The 21,598-nt window shown below is 36.9% G+C and overlaps 3 protein-coding genes across 21 annotated transcripts in view, besides 6 other annotated features; 1 reads left to right on the forward strand and 2 right to left on the reverse strand.

The window, feature by feature from the left end:
* Nucleotides 1-1,229, reverse strand: part of SASS6 (SAS-6 centriolar assembly protein) — a 49,361-nt gene extending 48,132 nt beyond the window's left edge. For all 3 annotated transcript variants that reach the window (NM_001304829.2, NM_194292.3, XM_047447889.1), the window contains exon 1: nucleotides 1,049-1,229. Coding sequence is in view for 1 of the 3 variants with exons in the window: in NM_194292.3 (NP_919268.1) it covers nucleotides 1,049-1,113 (65 nt within the window). In the remaining 2 variants the exon portion in view is untranslated. The remainder of the gene's footprint in view (nucleotides 1-1,048) is intronic.
* Nucleotides 851-1,014: a silencer, noted in NCBI's record as "fragment chr1:100598108-100598271 (GRCh37/hg19 assembly coordinates)". NCBI's record gives its function as "represses an EF-1alpha promoter that drives an FKBP-Casp9 reporter gene in an ReSE screen in phorbol 12-myristate 13-acetate-treated (for megakaryocytic differentiation) K562 erythroleukemia cells {active_cell/tissue: K562(+PMA)}" and the evidence as "EXISTENCE:reporter gene assay evidence [ECO:0000049][PMID:32094911]".
* Nucleotides 1,010-1,612: an enhancer, noted in NCBI's record as "H3K27ac hESC enhancer chr1:100598267-100598869 (GRCh37/hg19 assembly coordinates)". NCBI's record gives its function as "activates a minimal SCP1, AML or CMV promoter by ChIP-STARR-seq in naive and primed H9 embryonic stem cells {active_cell/tissue: H9 hESC(naive and primed)}" and the evidence as "EXISTENCE:reporter gene assay evidence [ECO:0000049][PMID:30033119]".
* Nucleotides 1,010-1,676: a biological region, named in NCBI's record as "H3K27ac hESC enhancer GRCh37_chr1:100598267-100598869".
* Nucleotides 1,017-1,136: an enhancer, noted in NCBI's record as "active region_1374". NCBI's record gives its function as "activates an Ori minimal core promoter by ATAC-STARR-seq in GM12878 lymphoblastoid cells {active_cell/tissue: GM12878}" and the evidence as "EXISTENCE:reporter gene assay evidence [ECO:0000049][PMID:35858748]".
* Nucleotides 1,147-1,676: an enhancer, noted in NCBI's record as "active region_1375". NCBI's record gives its function as "activates an Ori minimal core promoter by ATAC-STARR-seq in GM12878 lymphoblastoid cells {active_cell/tissue: GM12878}" and the evidence as "EXISTENCE:reporter gene assay evidence [ECO:0000049][PMID:35858748]".
* TRMT13 (tRNA methyltransferase 13) lies at nucleotides 1,462-18,795 on the forward strand. 13 transcript variants are annotated; one of them, NR_135078.2, is made up of 11 exons: nucleotides 1,462-1,614; nucleotides 5,181-5,227; nucleotides 5,318-5,384; nucleotides 7,948-8,010; nucleotides 8,481-8,550; nucleotides 8,749-8,813; nucleotides 9,151-9,318; nucleotides 11,436-11,508; nucleotides 12,368-12,442; nucleotides 16,392-16,625; nucleotides 16,924-18,795. NR_135078.2 is itself a non-coding variant. In NM_019083.3 (11 exons), the coding sequence occupies exons 1-11, from the start codon at nucleotides 1,468-1,470 to the stop codon at nucleotides 17,117-17,119; spliced, it is 1,446 nt and encodes a 481-aa protein (NP_061956.2). In that variant the 5' UTR covers nucleotides 1,462-1,467; the 3' UTR covers nucleotides 17,120-18,795. The 13 variants fall into 13 exon arrangements, 12 of the variants coding, with proteins under 12 accessions (NP_061956.2, NP_001380338.1, NP_001380340.1 ...); NM_019083.3 differs by having other exon boundaries at nucleotides 8,707-8,813; nucleotides 16,193-16,625; NM_001393409.1 differs by having other exon boundaries at nucleotides 16,193-16,625.
* Nucleotides 3,152-3,446: a silencer, noted in NCBI's record as "tiled region #13340; HepG2 Repressive non-DNase unmatched - State 3:PromF". NCBI's record gives its function as "represses a minimal TATA promoter and a strong SV40 promoter by Sharpr-MPRA in HepG2 cells {active_cell/tissue: HepG2}" and the evidence as "EXISTENCE:reporter gene assay evidence [ECO:0000049][PMID:27701403]".
* The window catches only part of LRRC39 (leucine rich repeat containing 39), a 31,220-nt gene continuing 26,368 nt past the window's right edge, over nucleotides 16,747-21,598 (reverse strand). For 4 of the 5 annotated variants that reach the window (XM_047445522.1, NM_001256387.2, NM_144620.4 and 1 more), the window contains 2 exons: nucleotides 20,684-20,823; nucleotides 16,747-17,396 (listed from right to left, as the gene is read on the reverse strand). In XM_047445522.1, coding sequence (XP_047301478.1) covers nucleotides 17,341-17,396; nucleotides 20,684-20,823 — 196 coding nt within the window. In that variant the 3' untranslated portion in view covers nucleotides 16,747-17,340. Of the gene's footprint in view, nucleotides 17,397-17,664; nucleotides 17,735-20,683; nucleotides 20,824-21,598 lie in introns of all 5 variants that reach the window. The other variant, NM_001256385.2, reaches the window with a different exon arrangement.

Genomic DNA, 21,598 nt, shown 5'->3' on the forward strand with positions numbered 1-21,598 from the left:
GCCATTGATTTTTGACCGAATTCTGAACTATATATACTACAGTTTGACATTACTGGCAACTCAATAAGGCAATGTCTTCATTTTTTATGTTACATTTGTACACCACTTAGTTTTCACATACGATTTCACACCTGATCCTCATTACAAACACGTGAATACGCAAAAGATTTCACACCTGATCCTCATTACAAACACGTGAATACGCATGTTATATCAGTTTTACAAATGAGGAAAGAACGTTCAGAGAAAAAAAGAGACAACCATTGAGTGTTAGAACTGAGAAAAAAAAAGTAAGTCTCCTGACCTCTGGTCAAATCTATTTACGCCCCAATAATACCACCTCCTTAATCAAAGTTGCACTTCTCTGTGCGACTGGTCTTTATTTCCTCCAGTGATTGTAAACTCCATGAAGAAAAGGACTGTTTTTCCTGACCACTGTATTCCCAGTGCCCAGTAAGGTGTTTTACAAGGAGGCAATATTTATTGAATGAATTAATGACGTTTCTGCTTTTCTCATTTTTAGTCGGTTAAATGTAATTTACTTTTTTAAAGCAACTGATGTGAAGAGCCAAAGTACGCCACCAAATTGGTAGGTTTTTAAAAGTTGAACTTTACTGCCAACATACTTCAAAAGAGAACGAGGGGGAAAGGCTCGGAGCCAAGGCCTGAGTTCTAGTCCTGACCCTGCCATGAACTGGCTGTGAGCCCTCACGTAAATTTTTTTAACTTCTCTGGGCCAGAGTTCTTATCTGTCAAAAGGGAAGAGTAGGGCTATAATCTTCACGATTCCGTGCACAGGTAGGGTTTTTGACATTAACTTGATGTGAGCCGGCTTCCTAACTCCTCACACCCTTCCTCCAGTCCCCTCTGCAACGGCCGACTTGGTGAGAGAGGTAACCACCGGGCCCTCTGGGTTCCCTATCCGCTTCCTAGGGGGGCCGACTCGACACCTAGGTGCAAGGTGGATCCCACGGGCCAGAACCGCCATCTTTCCCCATTGGCCTGACCCCAACCGCCACCCGCGGGCACTGGATGACGCGGACCTTACCTCTCCTCACAGTCTTTGCATTTCACCTGCAACGGGACTAGTTGGTGGAACAGCACTTGGCTCATGTTGGCTCGCTGCCTCGGCTGGTGTGCAGAAAAGCCCAACAGGCCCGGCCCTCGGGATTAGCCTGAGAGGTCCGGGTCCTGATAAAGTTTGAGTTTGGCGCTCGGCTTCTGCGGAGGAGGCGGGGAGGGAGAAACGAGGGGAAGGCGTAAGAGACTTGGCCCTCGCCAGCCACCATCGGATTCTTCCGGTTCTGCGGAGGATAAAGGGAAGACGGTTGTGGTAGTTCCGGGTATTAACCTGTGTGGCGCGGGGGCTGAGGCAGCCATGTTTGTTAAGGGAAGGAGACCCGAAGGAAGCTTCTAACTTTTCTTCTGGTTGCCGGATGCTGGACACCGGAAGCGAGCCCTAGAATTATGGCGACCTCCGCGACGTCGCCGCACGCGCCTGGTTTTCCAGCTGAGGGTAGATGCGGTTACTATGTGGAAAAGAAGAAACGGTTCTGCAGGATGGTGGTGGCCGCAGGGAAAAGATTTTGTGGTGAACACGCTGGAGCCGCGGAGGTGTGGTATCGCCCTACTCTCTCAAGAGTCGGAAATAAGTATCCTGGTCCTGTCGGTGCTGGAACCCGGCCCCTCCCCTCTTTGACAGCTTTCTGCTTGTGTCCCCTGGATTCTCCAGCTTTCACTTTAATAAACCCAGTTTTGCCCTCCTTGCGGAGCGATTATGAGTTCTAGTGATGAGAAATTTTTTATTTTTCTAAGTAAAGCGCCAGCAGTGACCCATTTATTTTGATCTATTTATCTCGATCTTAACTCATGGTAATGCTAGGTTTTAATTTTTACCCCAAGCTACCGCTCCGTCTTCCTGCTGGAAAGTGGTAGTTTAGAAAAAGTAGTGATTGAAGTCCCAAAGGTTTCACTAGTTGTGTTCTAATTGTTATTTCATGAAAGAGAAGCACTTCTCGTGAATGCGGTTGGAAGAAACTTTCTTTTAAAAATTTAGACTTGAGGCCCGGCGCGGTGGCTCACGCCTGTAATCCCAGCACTTTGGGAGGCCGAGGCGGGCGGATCACTTGAGGTCAGGAGCTCGAGACCAGCCTGGCCAACATGATGAAACCCTCTCTCTACTAAAAATAAGAAAATCAGCCGTGGCGCGAGCTACTAAAATTAAGAAAATCGTGGTGGTGCGAGCCTGTAACCCCAGCTACTCGGGAGGCTGAGGCAGGAGAATCGCTTGAACCCAGGAGGTGGAGGTGGCAATAATCCAAGATCACACCACTGCATTCCAGCCTGGGTGACAGCCAGACTGAATCTCAAAAAAGAAAAAAAAATTTTTTTCGACTTACAGTTTTTAAGAATGCAACTTTGCTGGAATGGGAAGGAAAGATTTTTAAATATATACGAATTGACCTTTTACAATTGAGAACAAAGCATACAATTTTGTTTGATAATTATGCATATAAATGTACTATCAAACACTTTATATTTGTATATATGTATATTACTTTAGGATATATATGAGATGGGAAAATAAAAACCAGAGGAGCAAAATGCTCATAGGAAGAGAGCATGTCCTTATAGTTCCACAGAACTATAAAGAATAAACCAAAGCGATCAGCATCAGATTTCATGCTTCTGAATGTTCAGTATTATTTGCATTATTTTATTTCTTAAGGAATTTATTCTTCTAGACAATATCCAGTGCAGATCAGTCCCCTGACCCCCTTCATCTGCCACTCTCCATCATAGTTGTAGTCTACTTCCTATTTTGTTTTGACTGGCATTTACCAAAAGTGAAGCATACTGAAACAAGGACATTCTTGTTTTGGAATATGGGAGACGTGATTTGTTGTGGGAACTCTGAATTATGCCCATAGTCTATTGACTGGTTTTGAGGGGACTGGCAAACATCCCTTGTTGAAGAATGAGAGTTATGATAGGAGAAGGATTTAGACTCCACCTTATCCAGATATATGGAAGGTGAAAACAAATAGTGATGATAGTAGAATATGAATAAATCCTTACAAGCTGATTAGTATTCCTATAGAGGAACGACATATTGTCATTAGACACTTGAAGAGAGACCGCAAAACATCAAGTGGAAACACTTTTATTGACTACTATCTCGTTTTAAATTGTGGCTATCCTCCTGAATCTGTAATTTATGATGTAACTGGATGTTGTGTTTCCATCTTTTTTTCTAAGTGTCATATATAGCTGTGATGACACCACTCATTTTTACCCAGTGGTTCTCGACTGGGACTGATTTTGCCTCCAGTGAACACTTGGCAAAATGAAGACATTTTGGTTGTCAAACTGAGGAGTATCACTGACATCTAATGGATAGAGACCAGAAATGCTGCTAAACCTCCTACAAATCACAGGACAGCCCCCTGCACTCACCCCCTCAAAAGAATTACCTGCCCAAAACGTCAATAGTGCCAAGATTGAGAATTCCTGTTTCTAAATTCAACTAATAAATTTTAAATGTGCTTTTTTTTTCCTATGCTACAGTTAGGCTCTGGGGGTTAGAATAGTCTTTTACATGGAGGTTAGGATTTAAAGTCAGCAATAAGGAAGAAATTATATACAGTATTTTCTTTTTCTTCTATTGAATATATAGTATTTTCAAAAAAAAAATTTCTTAGCTTTCCCATGAAATTCAGTGTGAATAGCTTCATGGACATGCTGAGAGGCACATTCGAACAGAAATAAATTTTTAAAAGAATAATAATAGCAGACACTTAGTCACCACTTACTCTATGTACAGCACTGGGCTAGGCAGTTTTGTTTTGTTAACTATTAGCTCACTTAATGTGTTCAAACCTTAGAAGGTAAGACATATTTTTGTTCTCATCTTTCAGATGAGGCAGTAAGCCTACCTAACTAAGGTCATAGGGATCGTAGCTGGTAGGTAGAGCTGGGTATCATACCTAGGCAGTCTGGCTGGCCTGTGTTCTTAACTGTTATATGACCCCTATTTATACAGATTCATGTGGAATATTGGGTAGAATTGCCAACATTATCAATTTTCCTTTCTTTTTTCCCAGTTCATATAGTCATGTGCCACATAATGACATTTCAGTCAACAACAGACCGCATATATGATGGTGGTCCCATAAGGTTATAATACTGTATTTTTACTGTACCTTTTCTATGTTTAGATATGTTTAGATACACAAATACTTACATTGTGTTACAATTGCCTACAGTATTTAGTATGGTAACATGCTGTACAGGTTTACAGCCTAGTAGCAATAGGCTATACTATATAGGCTAGATGTACAGTAGGCTATACTATCTAGGTTTGTGTTACTATACTGTATGATGTTCTCCCAATGACAAAATCACCTAAAGATATATTTCTCAGAATGTATTCCCAGTCATTAAGTGATGTAACTTAGGAATGAGTAGGATGTAACTGATAGTAAAAAGTTGCAAAGCCAGTAAAATATGGCACATCCAAATGGTTAAAATGCCATGTTCCATTGTTTCTAAGAAACTTTATTTTTACATTTTAACATTCTAAAATCAGGATACATCTTAAAATCCATATGTCAATGGGCAGCATTTTCCAAAAAATGATTAGTATGTGAGGCAATACATGTTAATTAGCTTGATTTAGCCATTCCACAATGTATACATATTTGAAAACATTATGTTGTATTAAAACCATACATAAATAATAGTGTATATTATTTTTATTGCCATAAAAATCACAATTACTTTTGTACAAACCTAATATGTGATAAATATATACAACTATTTGTCAATTAACATGAAATAGGCAGCATTTTTTTCTTTCTTGGTTGTGCATAAAATAGTCATACATATAATAGTTGATGCTATCTTAGATTTCAGACACCATATGTAGGCCTTCTCTATACCCTGTTTGAAGCTATAGACCCTTGTTTGTCCAAAGCAGTATTTGTTCATATGTATTTAAGCCAGTACACTGGAGAGTTTTTGTTAAACCCTTGGGACCTGATTTTGCCAACTTTTCATTATGTCCTTGTAAGGTTTCCTTACCTTGTTTTGAGATTACAGAGACACTGAAGTTATATCTGGTATCTGTAAGCAATAAACTTGATATTTTATTTAAATAAATGTATCTCTTAATTTATTAGGAAGAAGATGCTCGGAAAAGAATCCTGTGTCCTTTAGATCCAAAACAGTAAGTGTGGATCAGATACGGGTTTTTTTTTGTGCTGGAAACAGTAATTGGCACAAGTCTCATTTGAAATAATTTTCTCTTTAAATTTAGCACAGTATATGAAGATCAACTAGCAAAGCATTTGAAAAAATGTAACTCAAGAGAGAAACCAAAACCTGTAAGTGTTTGATCAGTAAAATTGAATGGTGAAATGTGGTATGTAATGCCTTGGTAGATGCTGCACATGGAATGTACTTGTTTCATAGCTGAGGAACCCAAGCTCAGGAAATATAATTTTTTTTTAAAGAGATAGGGTCTCACTCTGTCACTCAGGCTGGAGTGCAGTGGCGTGATCGTAGCTCACTGCAGCCTTGAACTCCTGGACTCAAGCAATCCTCTCACCTCAGCCTCATGACTAGCTGGGACTGTAGGCAAACGACACCACACCTGGCTTATTTTTTTATTTTTTTATAGAGACGGGGTTCTCGCTGTGTTGCCCAGGCTGGTCTCGAACTGCTGGTGTCAAGCAGTACTCCTGCCTCAGCCTCCCAAAGTGCTAGGATTATAGGCGTGAGCCACCAAATCCAGCCAGGAAATACAAATATTTTTAAATTGGGTAGTAGGCAAACCTGCCTGACTTTTGTTCCATAAGTAGACATTTATTTATTACACTGTACAATAAGGGCTGCCATGCGATCCAGGAGGTGACACCATTTCTGTCTTCCAAGGGTGCTTGGTATACAAGCTCCCTTGAAAAGGTAGTCTGGGAAAAAAGATAATCAGTGCCTTTGCTTCTAAGACTCATAGAAAATCGAGACTTATGGGAGGATGTCTTGCAATAGCACCGCTCAGTTACTTTGACAACAAAATACTCCCATTCATTTCCAAATGCCTCCCAGTTGAGAACCACTGGGCCAGATGGCATAAGTTTAGAAAGTATTTTTACATTAAGATGGTGTAGAAGAAAAATGATGACCCTCACCACCACCACCTACTTAGGACTTAGCCCCTTTAATAGAAAGAGAGAACATTGGCTTTGTTTGCAAATATCTTCCTTACCTAAGTTCCAGGTTTCAGTTAAAGCAAGCATGTGCAATATGTGTTCAGAGAAAAGTTTGAGAGGATAGATAAATTTATTAAAAATGGAAACCCTTGGGTGAGTTTCACTGCATACCAACACACAGTGGCAAGGAAATGGAGAAAAGCGGTGGAATGATGAGACGAAGAAAGAAATGCAAAGCAGTATTTATCTGGTTCACTATGTAGAGTAGGACACTTGGAACCCAGGTAAAGGCATATCACTATTCTGCTTTACTTTGGGAAACTGGTGAACAATTTTTTTAAATTTTGTATACTAAATAAAAGTTAGTTGGTTATAAATTTCTCCAGTATAAATAGTTTTCACATTTAAAAATCTAATCTACAACGTAAGTTACCTGGAGCACTCTTGGCAACCATTTTGAACTAAGAGTACATCAAATTCTAATACTTAACAGCTAGTTTTCTATTATAGTTTTTTTCCGTTATCCAGTAAAACATTGTAATTCCTGCAGTAAAACATTGTAATTCCTGCAGTAAAACATTGTAATTCCTGCAGTCTTCACTCATTCCACTCAATCACCAGTTTCCATTGCAAGCAACACACATTCTGTCCATATAGGTAAAGCTAGCAACACACAATCAGGATGTTACCTTTCTGCCTCCATGTAACAAAAGTCCATTTACTACACATAACATAATGTCCCCAAGAGTTATTTTCACTTTTGAAACAGGATTTGTAGAAACAGTACTTTTTCATTCATCTAGATCCACACCGTTCAGTATGGCAGCCACTAGCCACATATGACTATTTAAATTTGAATTAAAACTAAATAAAATTAAAAATCTAGTTTCTCAGTCACACTAGTCATATTTCAGTGGCTGCCATATTGGCCAGAGCAGATGTAGAACATTTCCATCATTGCAGAAAGTTCTGTTGGACAATGGTAATGCAGATCCTTACCTAGAATCTGTATTTCTGAAGCCAGACTAGAAAGATTTCATTATGTGTGTTTGTTTGTTTCTTTGTTTATTTTAGAGACAGGGTCTCCCTATATTGCCCAGGCTGGTCTCAAATTCCTGGGTTCAAGGGATCCTTCTGCCTTGGCCTCCCAAAGTGCTAGGATTACAGGCCTGAGCCACTGTGCCTGGCTTCATTACGTTAATTTAAATAGTGTGACAGGACATTTATATTTTCAAGTTTTAATTAATATTTTAAAATAGAAGAAATCAGACTTATTGTTATAATATCTTTGTCTTATCTGTTTTTGGTCATGCTGCATGTCTGATAAGCAGCATTGTGTAGTTAGTACTTTGCTGTTTTTACTTTAGCACTATAAGACAAAATTATTACAGTTCTCAGTGTATGCTGTCAACAGTCTAGGCTGTAGAACTTTTAATAAGTGTTACAAATGAATTTCTTTAAACTGTAAGTGCTTATTCAGATAATCACCTCACTAGAATATAAGATCCACGAACACATATTTTTGTCACTTTTGTTATCTACTGTGGTGGAGTGCCCAATACCTAAAGCAAACTAGGGCCTAGAGTAAATATTCAATAGTGATTTCATGAAGAAATGAATGGAGGAAGGGAGGATGGCAGGTACAGAGCAGGGGATAAAGGGAAGAATCAGTATTTTAGTTTAATTTTTGTGAGCTACACATTATTAACAGTTCTTTTATGGTTTTGTTTTTGTTAAGGATTTCTATATTCAAGATATTAATGCAGGCTTAAGAGATGAAACAGAAATACCTGAACAATTAGTAAGTACATTGACTTAATATTTAATTTTAAAAGATATTTATAAGCTCTCTTCATGATGTGAATAAGGCATGTTCTAATTTTTGTCTCAAGTCTGTTTTTAATTTAGAATGCATTTTCCTGTAGACTTAATATTGTTAGTGATGGTTAGTTCCTAGACCCAGACCAGCTCATGCCCCATAACAAAAGAAGCTACAATATGGCCCTGAATCCCCTTTGATTCTTGAACCCTTCTGAGCCTAGACTTGTTCTTGACCTTGAGGAAGTTAGGAAAATTAAAGTAGCACAGCAAAGACGGAGTAGAAATTTAGCAGTTGGACAATTCTGATGGCAGCTTAGGGAAAAGGCTTGATAGAGAGAAGAGCCTAAGCTGTCATGGGATTTGCCCAGTTGGTAAACCTCTACTCAGTCTCTGTTATGCTACTTTAAAGCAATTTTTGGCTACATTATTTAGTTTTATTTTTGTATATAGGTTCCAATTTCTTCTCTATCTGAAGAGCAGTTGGAAAAGTTAATTAAGAAATTGAGAAAAGCAAGTGAAGGTAAGACTGCCTAAAGTTGCAAGTTCAATTATTTTAGAGTAATTAGGTGGTATATGAGTTGATACCATTCTGGTTTAAAATATGTTACTACTATTGTTCAGAATCCTACAATTACATGTTTGGCTGCTTAAGCTGTTGTGCTTATATTTGGCACAGGCTTGAATTCTACACTTAAAGATCATATTATGTCCCATCCAGCATTACACGATGCACTTAATGACCCTAAAAATGGCGATTCTGCAACCAAGCACCTGAAACAGCAGGTATGTTTAGGCTATAGTAACTACTAAACATGGCCTTTGTTCATTTGTTAAAACTGTTTTAAATGTAATTATTAATAAGATTTTATTTTGTTTACCTTTGAGGGTACCAAATATTTCCATTTCAAAAATATATAGAAACATATACAAAAAATTGAGGGCATGGATGTGATTCTGAGTACCGTATATTAAATATTTAAAGGCAAGAGAGAAAAATTTTAAGTCAAATACAAATTATCAATGTAAGCATACTGCCTTATGCAGAAATTACCTTGCTGTTTTCCCATTTGAACCAAATGTGTTTACTCTAGTTTATAAAATAATCTTGTGAAGTTTGCAGGCTTCTATTTTAGGTAACATTGAAAATTTAAAGTTACTTGGTCCAAGAAGATGCTTTGTTGAGTTTGGAGCGGGAAAGGGAAAATTATCTCATTGGGTTGATATTGCCTTAAAAGATGCTGAAAAAGTTCACTTCATCCTAGTGGAAAAGGTGACCACAAGATTCAAGGTAAGTGAAACCATTGCTCTGTGTTAGTAACCAAACTTGTTTTCATTTTTTGTATTCAGGAAAAAAGTGATAGAAACATTTCTTAAAAGAAAGGAAAGGAATTTTCTTTATCTGTTTGTTGTAGCTTTTTATTAGTTCTAATTGTATTGATAACTCAAACTGAAGGTGAATTTTTTAATCTAAGTTTTGATAGTCCATTGATCTGAATTCTTAAAATTATTTGCAGAGACAGGAAAATATATAGAAAGAGCCAAGCTCAAGCTAGGAGTTAAAAGTCTTGGGCTCTACTCCTATCTTTGCCACTTGCCCTTCATTCATTAAACAATTTTTGAGCATACTGCCAGGCCCCACCCAGGCTGAAGTACAGTGGCAGGATCGTGGCTCACTGCAGCCTTGACCTCCTGGGCTCATATAATCCTCCCATTTCAGCCTCATGAGTAGCTGGGACTATAGTCCCACGCCACCATGCCCAGGTAATTTTTTAAAATTTTTTGTGGAGACAGGGTCTCACTTTGTCGCCCAGGCTGGTGTCGAACTCCTGAGCTTAAGCCATCCTCCCACCTTACCCTTCCAAAGTGCTGGAATTACAAGTGTGAGCCACTGTGCCCAGCCACTTTATTACTTATATTTAGAAAAGAGACCCAGGCAAATACATAAATGATTGTAGTGAAGTGTTAAAATACGAGAAAGGTCTGCACAGAGTACAGCATGGTTTCAAAGAAGGGAGTGACAAGTTCTATTGCAGGGAAGAGATGGAGAATGACTATGTAGAAAAGGTGATGCTTGAACTAAATCTTGAAAGGTGAATTGGTGTTTGTTAGAGAGTTTGAGAAGCATTCTAGGAAGCAAGAACAGTGTAACCAAATACCTGAAATAACAGGAAAATATGGAAACATTCCTGTATAATGGGAGTACATGGTGCAAAGTAGAGTTCAGCAATGATGGGACTGGAGAGGATGGCTAGCCTATAGAAGGTCTCATATTTTATGCTAAGGAAGGAGTTTGACTATGCTGCTGTCTGGTGGGGATACAATAGAAAAAAGATTTAGTTCTTGGCTTTGAGGAAGCTTACGTCTAGTGGAGTAGACATATAAATATTTGTGTTCAGTATGCTAAGTGTGTTTTGATAGTGGTAAGTACCCAATCCTATGGGAGCATGAAGATAGAGCACCAACCTCAGTCTAGTGTGGGTCATAGAAGTTTTTGCAGAAGTGACAGTTGAGATGAGATTGAAATAATATGTAAGAGTTGGTAAAGTAGAAGGAAATTTTTCAAAGTTTATCCTAGCAGCACCATTAAAACTATATTAGAAGAGTCTGATACTTAGAGAGATTAATAATAAAGATAATTTTTGTCCAACAATCCAAGTAAGAAAGAGGCCAGAGCTAAAGCTATTGCATTGGGATGGAGAGGAGGGCAAGAGTATGAGAAATATTAAGATGTTGGAAGCCACAAGAGTTGGTGATTTGTTAGTAATTGAATATGAGAGATAAGGAGTAATTCTCGGTAGGATTTTTATGGCTTAGGTGACTAAGTGGTGTTCTTTCCTGAGATAAGGAATGAAGGAGGCACAAGAGGAAGGATGGTTTTGGAGACAGAAATAATGAGTTCAGTTCTGAATGTGTCCAGTTTGCTGGTGAAGTAGAGCTTTCTAGTTCACAATTGAGTATGTGTCTGATGCCCATTGGAGAGGCCTGAGCCACAAATGTAGATCAGCCGGTCGTGGGCACATAGGTATAGATTAGAATGGTTGTGATCTTTCAGGAGAGCAAGAAGAGGAGCGAACCAAAAATAGTACACCAGGAGTGACAAAGATAAAGGAGCTAGTAGACAATCTTAGATAAATCACTTAAGATCTGTGAACTTCAGTTCCTTTGTCAGTGAATTGGGAATTTTTAGGGTTAAAGGAAATAATGTCTATGTAATAATTGATAAACATTTTCAAATCTTTTTTAAAAAGTGTGATATTTTGAAGTTCTCATCAAAGAATGTACAATCTTAATTTTTAAATATGTTCTGTTGCTCTGAATTTTGAAAACCAATAAAAATCTTTTTATTTTCATAAAGCTTTTTTAAATGTAAGAAGTGATTATTACAATAATGTTCTGTTTGTGCAGGTGGATGGAAAACACAGAAAGAAAAATTCAGTGTTTGAAAGACTTCAAATTGATATTCAACACTTGTGTTTGAGTAAGTTGTGTAACTTTCCATTGGTCTACAAATAAATCATAACTGTTTTAAACTCTGAGGTTGCTTAGAAATCCAATCATGCAGAACTGTGCTTCAGGGAAAACAGTCAAATCAATTCATTGTTAATATAGAATGTTTTATATAATGTTTTTAAATAGATGTAAATTGAATTAAGGTTGAGAATTTTAAAAATTTTCAGTATCAAGTGGAAATGAAGTGTTATATTAGGGAAGAGTTTAAAAGTTTTATAATATGTACTTCTGTTGTTTCTTTGTCCTGTTTAAATTAATTTTGAGTCTGTTCAAACTATAAACTAGCCTTCTGCCTGCAGTTAACGTGACTTTACCTAAACCATGAAAGAAAATGAGATATTTCTCTGCCTAGCTAATGTGTAAAAGATACTTCCTAGAATTTTAAATTGTACAAAAGAAGTCATCACTGTGGGATTCATATTCCATACACAAAACACACACAGACACATACACACACAAACTCCTCAATCAACCTCTGTAGTGCCCTTTTTATACCTTTTCTATTTTTCAGATTATCCAAAGAAAATAATGCAAACATATCTTTGCAACCTCTTCCATTCACCAATTTTAATCCAGCCATGAAAAGCAACCCAGCATTTGTATAGAAATCAATGTATTTAAAATTATTTAGCTGAATATATTAACTTTCTGATGTTATGAACCCTAAACAAGTTCTTATGTTATATGTTGGGTTCCATAAAGTGATAATTTTTGTTTGAGTCTCTTTCAGGCTAAAATTCAGAGACTCTAATTAGTTCTTTCTTTTGGAAGGCCACATTAATATGTACTTTATTTCACTAGACAGTTAATTCTCATTTCCATTTCAGACAAGATTCCTGTGCTAAGAGAAGAAAAACTACCTGTGGTAGGAATTGGAAAGCATCTGTGTGGTATGGCAACAGGTACGTAAACATACTGATAATGTTTACATTAATGCATTAAGTTTTGGCCTAACCTGGCCCCAACCATTTCAGTGGTCTCTTTTGAATAGATATCTTATGTTTACAACTCAATAATCTTTATAGAGCACTGGCCCTGTGCTTTATTAGATGCATAGCTTTCCTATTTATCTGCTCATATTGGCCATTTTGCAGGATGAATTAAGAGTTTTGTATGTAAATACTGCATCACATTAGACCTTAAAGTTCTTTGGGTTAAATTTCAACCAGAAAAGGAAAATAAGACCATTTATGGAAACTGTATGATTCCACCTAGAAGCTACTGATTTTTTAGAGTAGTTGCTTAGAAAGAACTCAGAAACCTCTTCTACTAAAAGACTATTGTGTTTCAGGATTCTGGGGAAAAAGAAAAAAATAAATGTTAGACAAAAAAAAAAAATCTAAGATGTCTTGTCTTAGCACTTTGATCCATCAGATCTAGCATGGTAAAGTGGAAACAGCATGTGCTTTAGAATCAGATAGTCTAGCCTTCAGCTTTGTTGTGTAACCTTGTCAAATTACTTAACCTTTCTGAGCTTTGGTTACCTCATCTATAAAACAGAGATACTAATATATTAATAATTTACCGGGTTGCATGTAAAGTGTCTGGCACATAATAGTGCTCAATAAATGTTAATTATTGTTACATCATCTTCCTAACTTTTGCTAGTTTCATCATCTACCCATATGGATTACTTGGAGCATCCATAGATATTATTCATATTGGCTGGAAATGGCATTGAGTACTATATATTTGTGTTGGCCTTCATAGTTTTTAAGACTATAGTCATGTACAACATAACGATGATTTGGTCAACAATGGACTCATATATGACAGTGGTCCTATAAAATTATACCATATTTTTACTGTACCTTTTTTGTATTTAGATACACAAATACCATTGTGTTACAGTTGCCTACAGTATTCAGTAACATGCTGTACAGGTTTGTAGCTTAGGAGCAATAGGCTGTGCCATACACCCTAGGTGTGTAGTAGGCTACACTACACCATCTAGGTTTGTGTAGTACACTCTGATGTTCCTACAATGATGAAATCGCCTAATGCATTTCCCAAAACATACACCAATAGTTAAGCAATGCATGACTGTACTTTTGCATACCTTATCTCATTTAAGCCTCATAAAAGTCTTCTAAAGTAAACCAGTTCCATCCCGGGGGTAGGAGGGAGTACACTCTTTTGACCTACAGTGGCCATTTCTCATGTTCCACATAATTTTTTCCCTTGATTCACTGTATCTGAATCCTCCTTTTGTCTCTGCTGCAGTTGCTTACCCTTTTTGAAATTCCATTTTCTTCTCTTTTGCGATACTCTTATTTCCTGGTTCTTCCCCTACATCTATGCCATTCTTCTGTTTATTTCACAGTCTCCTTCCACTTCTGTCCTTAAAATACTAATATTCAGGCCAGGCACAGTGGCTTATGCCTGGAAACCCAACACTGGAGGCTGAGGTGAGATGATTGCTTGAGGCTAGGAGTTCAGGATTAGCTTGGGCACATAGGAAGACCCCATCTCTACAGAAATTTGTTGGGCACGATAGCTTGTGCATGTAGTCCCAGCTATTCAGGAGGCTGAGGTGGGAGGATCACTTGAGCCTAAGAGTCTGAGTCTGCAGTCAACTGGGATAGCACCACTGCACTGCAGCCTGGGTGACAGAGCAAGACCCTATCTCAATCGGTCAATCAATCTCAGACCCATCTGCTACACAACTAATGTGTCTTTCCCTTTAAACTCTTCGGTACTTCCTGATATAGTCCAAACTCTTTGACATAACGTTTTAGTCTCAATCTGGCTTCAGCCTTCCTCTCTTTACATTCCCTGTCTCCTACTTTGCTGTTCAGCAACATCAAACCCTGTGTGCTTTTCCATAGACTGTACTATTTCTACTATATCTGGAATTTCACCCCCATTCACCTACTCACCCAAACAAAACAACTGGTCAATTTTTACTCATCCTTCACCTCAGTTGTCACCACTCTCAGGGAGCTCCCTTAAATAAGATATGCCTCCTTGGTGTTATCATAATACCCTCTGCATATTTTTACCTTGTGGTATTTTAATTATCTGTTTATATATCTAATTCTTCCACCATGCTCTGAATTTTTTGAGTATATGGTATATACTTAGTACGATGCTTGCTATATAACAGGAACACAGTGAATATTTGAATGAATGAATAATCTTGGCTACCAATTTGCTGTGTTTCCTTGTCCCTTTCTGCATATGTGGCTTTGTCTTTTAAGTTCTTTATAAAAGATGAATTGAGATAAATTGCTAAAGCTCCTTCTAATTCTGAAATAACTTAATTCTTTTTTTTTTTTCTTCGAGACGGAGTCTCGCTCTGTCGCCCAGACTGGAGTGCAGTGGCGCAATCTCGGCTCACTGCAACCTCCGCCTCCCGGCTTCAAGCGATTCTCCTGCCTCAGCCTCCCGAATTGCTGGGACTACAGACTCGTGCCACCACGCCCGGCTAATTTTTGTATTTTTAGTAGAGACGGGATTTCACCGTGTTAGCCAGGAAGGTCTCCATCTCCTGACCTCGTGATCTGCCCACCTCAGCCGGCGTGAGCTACTGCGCCTGGCCTGAAATAACTTAATTCTTTTAATAATTTATCTGGTTATTCACATTTCTGAAAATCACTTACTTAAGTCAAATATGAATAAAACAATGACTAAATGTATTTTGTCAGAAAATAATAGTTTATGAAATAATAGATTAGCTATCACTTTCTGCAAATAATGGGTTTCTAATGTTTGTTGACTTAAATTCATATATTGAATTAAATTTACTAGTGAAATATCAGATCATTTAATAGTCATTTGTGATATCTTAGGGTAATAAAATTTTAAAATATGTATATGTTTTTGATTGAACAGACACAACATGACAATCTAATGATTAAGAAGATATGGGTCCTACATTTTGGGTCTTTCCAGTATTGTCAACAGTGTAGGAGTTTTCGATGGGAAATAGCCATAGTCATCAAAAATCCATTTATTTAGTTTTAAAATATACTAAAATATTTTCATTGTAATGTGGAGTACATCTGCCTCTTAAGTTTGTGTATATTAATAATTGTATCCTCAGTGCTTTGCACATGAAAGGCATTCAGTAAATGTTTGTTAAATAAATGAATAAATACAGTAAGGCTACTCAGTGAGGCCTGCTTTCCAGATTCTGTTCTGACGCCCTCTTTTCAACTCTTCAGTTCATCACTATTTGCTATGAGCCTCTTCAAGACAAGCATCTTGACCTAGCATCAACCTAAACAGATTTGTCTGCCCTTCCTCCCTCCCTTCCTTCCTTCCTTCATTTTTCCTTTCTTAAACTAGAATGTAAGTGTAGGTGAATAAAGTTTTCCCATACAAGTCATTTCCTCAGCTAAGGTAGGAAAAGTGAGAGACAATTCAGGTAGTTGGGTAAAAGTTCTTCAAATTGTAGATCTTAAGCTTCAGATAGCTTTATTGGGAAGTAGGCTTTATGCAGAATAAATCATTAAAGAAATTGAGAAGATAGAAGAGCAAATTTGAATGAAGTTGATAATTCATGATAGTATTATTACAAATATAAAGCTGAGTAGGTTTTTGCTGTTTTTATTGTTGAGTTTTTAAAAACAGTACTGCTTAATAAATGTAAAAAGTATTTATTTTTAAAGATGATGTGGTTTGGGGGGGCCACATAATTGTGTTTGCAGATCTTGCATTACGATGTTTGGTTGAAACCTATGCTGCCAGTTTTGAGGAAAGGAATGAAGAACCTTTAGCCAAACGCATAAAGAATGATAAAACAGAAAAAGAAATTTACACTTTGGCCAAGGAAGGAAATGAAAAAAATGTCCCAGAGAAGTGGAACCCTGTGGCTGGCATTGTTATTGCACTCTGTTGTCACCACAGGTGTGATTGGAGACATTATGTGGGCAAAGAATATTTCAGGGCTCTAGGCCTTGGAGCAGTGGAATTCCATTATTTCCAGCGAATGAGTAGTTGGGCAACTTGTGGGATGCGGAAAACATCTTTGGAAACCTCAAATAGTACCACAAAGAGGCAAGATAATCAGAATGATGATAGTGAAGAGCATGATGATGGAGGATACAGAATCACAGATGATGGCGCTGATTGTTTGCCTGGGTAAGAGACTACTTTTGTAATGCATGATACTAAAGGAGAAATATTATATTGTACTGTACTTTAGATGACTATTATCAACAATTCATGAAAATGTATTTTATAATCTAATTTTAGAATAAGCTAAAATATACACATCTTTTATTGTGGTCATAAATATAATGTGTCTTGGAAGCATGGGACAAAGTACTTAGTACATTATGGGTTAGTTAACAGTCTCTCAATAAATAGTGACAAAAATAATTTTTTATAAACTTTTGCAAAATTTTAACAATGTTTTGTGTGTGTTTATTCAATTTAGGCTTCTTAGTGTTGAAGAAAAGAAGAAAATAGGGCATCTTTGTAAATTGCTGATTGACCAAGGTCGAATCCAGTATTTGCAGCAGAAGGGATTCAGTCCTGCTTTGCAGTACTATACAGACCCTCTGGTGTCTTTGGAAAATGTTTTGTTAACTGCTTTACCAAATCATTCTTCATCACCAGAAACAACTGCTTAATGGAAAAGAAATTTGAGCATCATCTGTCTTCCACCAAAAAAAATTTTTTAATTATATTTTTATATCAAAAAAATATATACTTTAAATAGCAAATAATATGAACTTTAAAAAATGCTGTGGCCTCATTAAACTTTGGTAATAGCTTTTCTTTTTACTTCAGAAATCCAAACATTAGAGAATTCACCAAAGTAATCCTCTTTAGAAGGGCATCTTGAATTATATTATCCATCCGTATTTATGGAGATTGGTAAAGTAGTTGAACCGTTGACTTGGTGATCTGAAACATACATAACATGTCAACACATAATTAGCGTATTTCTGTTTGTATTAATTTTGGAAATTTATCTTCCTTTGATTTTATTTAATATTTTTTATTTCTTAAGTTCAAGAGGTAGTGATTGATTGTAACAAGGGCCAATCTGAGAATTTGACTTATATGTGGACATTTTTCCCTACAGATCTGGAAAGCACAATTGTGATTTTCTCAAATGCAGACAATTCAGAGATATTCACAATTAATAAACACAATTAATTAATGAAGTCACCTTCAAATTTCCAGAGCCATACATGTATATATTGTCAGAATCTGTCCATGACAAACACAAAACTGAAGAGCTGTTTTCAAAGAAAAAAGATTATTTCACTTAATTATTTTGTTGGATAATTGTCTAGTTAGAACTTCCAAAAAGATACTTACAAACATAATTCACAAATTTGAAATAATTTCTGAAGTTGATTAGCTATCTCATATCTTTTATCAGGTCATTTTTTATATATGTAGGCACAAACAATAAGTATGTTCTCTTCTGTTTGGGAAAATAATTTGGAATAAAATAGAAATTAGATAATGAAACCAAAAACCTTCTCAAATTTAGGCCTTATTTAACTCATGACTGGTTTCTATGCACAAGAAAATACTAAACCAAATATATGGTAGGACTGTTATTCTCTTCTGCATCTTATCCCTATTTTGTTTCTGCCTTTATTTGTAAAAATTGTCTTAATTGATGGTACATTTGCCAAGACAAAGGTTCAGAATTACTAATTTTAGATATTATGATATTCTGAAATAACTATTTTTATCCTGTAGTTCTATGATTATATGATTTGTAAATAAGAAGCCTAACCAATTTAAAATTCCTGACTTTAGTCTCATATATCTTGTCAGACTGTCTCGGTTCAAATTCCAAACCTACCATCTTCAGTTGTGCGACCTTGGGCATGCTACCTAATCTCTTTGTGCCTCAATTTCCTCCTTTTAAAATGGGGATGATGATGATAACAATAATACCTACCTCACAAGGTTGTTGTGAGCATCAAATGAGATAACACAAGTAAAATGCATAGAACAGTTCCAAGCACAGAGTAATTCAATAAATATTAACTAGTAATAGTAGTGGTAGTAACTCGTGAATCTTTTTAATAACATAATAGGCTTTGATTTTATTATCTCTTTAAGTTGTTAACTTTTTTCCCTTGTTATAAGTTTTATGTCAAGTAAGGTAGTTTGTTTAAGTTAGTTACCCATGTCCCCAATCAAGGGAACCTAAATGAAGATATATCATTAAATAATTAACCTTTTTTTATTGTGTCAAGCAATACTAATTTGTGTCATAAAATTTGTTTTGCATCATTCAACAATTTATGCCCAGAAATAAACAATATTCTACAACAGGCATAATCTCATTTATGTTTGATAAAATATACATACACACCCAAGAATTATCATACAGAAACAGTTCTGTGGCCCATTTAGCTTAATGGTATGTTTCTGACAATGGTATCAAGTACCTTAAAGGAAGATAAGTTTGTCCTTCAACATGCCAGCCTTAGGTCAGGATTATTGTTTTCCTAACTGTTAATTTGTCTTCACATATCATGAGAAAGTGACTGTGGGATATGCATACAGCTATTTCTTGTCCTGCAGAATTTTCAGATTCAACAAACCTCTTCTTGAACTTCAGATTCACCTGCACAATTACCACAACTTGCATGTTCCACAGGTGCATCAAATTTACTGCTAAGGGCCAGGTGTGGTGGCTTACACCTGTAATCCCAGCACTTTGGGAGGCCAAGGCAGGTGAATCACCTGAGGTCAGGAGTTCGAGACCAGCCTGACCAATATGGTGAAACCCTGTCTCTACTAAAAATACGAAATTAGTGGGGCGTGGCGTGGTGGTGCATGCCTGTAAGCTACTCAGGAGGCTGAGGCAGGAGAATCACTTGAACCTGGGAGGCGAAATTTGCCAAGTGAGCCGAGATTGCACCATTGCACTCTAGCCTGGGCAACCAGAGAGAAACTCCTCAAAAAAAAAAAAAAAAAAAAAAAAGACTGCCAAAATTAGAAATCATCTTCTGCCTCTACCACCTGATTCTATTCGCCAACCCATCTTCTGTACTTCATTCTCCATCTTAGCACCACCATCTATCCAGTTGCCCTCTAAACCAAAAACATTCATTGTAAACTCCCTTTTCTCATCTTCATTCAATTACCAATTCTGTCTCCTAATTGTCTTTATATATTCTCTGCTTTCCAAAACTAGGTCACAATTATGACTTTTTTGCCTGTCTTCCCCCAATCTGTCTCCATGTCATTGCTTCTATGACCTTGCTGCAATAAATCTAATCACCATTTCCTAAACATCCTCCACTGAATGTTAGTAAAAATTATTTCCTTTAGCTGAAAAACTCTGTCATTGTCTTCTCAGTTATATTCATTTTTCAAACTAGTTGTTGCATTAAGTTGAACTAAAATCTACCTTTTAAGTTAAAAATTCTTAACATTTTAAAATTATAAGACTATGATTTCTGTTACTATTGTTTCATTGTTTTTATTAACAAATAATTGTGCACTTTGTCCTCTTCCCCTGATCTTGGTTTAGCTTAAAGGCCCTCAATTAATTATCAGAGACTAAGTGATTGAAATCTCTATATCAAAACCTCACACTTTGTTCATTAAAATCTGTGTTCTCAGCCAGACGTGGTGGCATGCACTGATAGCCCCAGTTACTTCAGAGGCTGAGGTCGGATGATCTCTTGAGCCCAGGAGTTCAAGGCTACAGTGAGCTATGATTGTGCCTTTGAATAGCCACTGCACTCCAGCCTGGGCAACATAGTAAGACCTCATCTCTTTAAAACAAACAAACAAACAAACAAACAAAAAACTGTGTTCTCAATATTTTTCATCCCTAGGTAAATTTTTTTTTCTATTTATGGAATGACAGGGAAGGTCAGTTCATGGTCAAACTGCTATGTGTGGCAAGCTGGTAGAATGAGGTAGCAAAGCTTTAAGAATCATGTCTTCACTCACTTGGTTTTACTTCAGATGCTTAGCCAAAGGATTTATTTCCTTCCCCCACTTGAAAGACTTTGAATATCTTTAAAACCTCTCTCTCTATTTCACTTTTTTTCTTCCCACAATATTGACTAAGAGAACAGAATTTGACAGAAAACTTAAGATGGAATGAGAAATATATAAAGGAATTAATCAAAAGGCAGCAGTTAGTGATACACACATTACTCTACCAAAAAACATTTAATCTGTGTTATATACAAATCTTATACCTGCTCTTCTCCGTGACTCTTGTATGTATGTGTGCATAAACTGAAGGCCAAATAATTCCCGTTCCTCTTCTTCATCTGTGCCTTCACTGGGAGGAAGTGATACTTTCAATTTCAGTGGGTTGTCTCTGAAGTTGACAAACCTAGAAGTTCATCAAAAAACAGTATTTTTATAGGTGTCATGGAAGTGTACATTTATTTCCCTGGAGAAAGGTCAAATGATAATATACTAAATTACTCGTTTTTAACTGGTTTCAATAACTGAACGACTTGGTGAGATGTGATATATCTCAAGAATCTTATGTTTTTTTCCTAAGAGAAAAAAAAACACTAGCTTTAGACAACTTACTTTCAAAGCTTATAAAAGCAACTGTTAGTCTAGTTGCACAGGCTGGAGTGTAGTGGCATGATCTGGACTCATGGCACCCTCCACCTCCCGGGTTCAAGTGATTCTTGTGCTTCAGCCTCCCAAGTAGCTGGGACTAGAGGTGCACACCATGACGCCCGGCCAATTTTTGCATTTTTAGTAGAGACAGGGTTTTGCCATATTGGCCAGGCTGGTCTCAAACTCCTGGCCTCAAGTGATCTGCCTGCCTCAGCCTCCTAAAGTACTGGGATTACAGGTGTGAGCCACCACATCTGGCCTACAGCATATATTTAATGCAATACAGCTTAACTTCTAAGAGCAATTTTAACATATCTTAAATATAAAATTAGTGCTATGAACTTAGTTTCTGCATAATTTATATACCTCCATCTTACTTATCATTGTGTCTTCACCACCCAGTACAAGGCAGGTAGTTGCTGAACAAGTGAATAAATGAATTATTTTGTTATCGAAGTTTTGGGTTTTAGTGGGTATTCTCTTATTCTCATTTGTCAGAAGATTAAGCTTTGGAAGAAAAATACTTGAGGGAG

The sequence above is a fragment of the Homo sapiens genome, chromosome 1, assembly GCF_000001405.40.
Source record: "Homo sapiens chromosome 1, GRCh38.p14 Primary Assembly".
Lineage (NCBI taxonomy): Eukaryota > Metazoa > Chordata > Mammalia > Primates > Hominidae > Homo > Homo sapiens.

Coding starts and splice junctions, on each gene's coding strand:
- TRMT13 (NM_019083.3), top strand. CDS start 1,468: ATGGCGACCTCCGCGACGTCGCCGCACGCGCCTGGTTTTCCAGCTGAG. Junction 5,385..7,947: donor CAAGAGAGAAACCAAAACCT/GTAAGTGTTTGA, acceptor GTTTTTGTTAAG/GATTTCTATATTCAAGATAT. Junction 8,814..9,150: donor CCAAGCACCTGAAACAGCAG/GTATGTTTAGGC, acceptor TGAAGTTTGCAG/GCTTCTATTTTAGGTAACAT.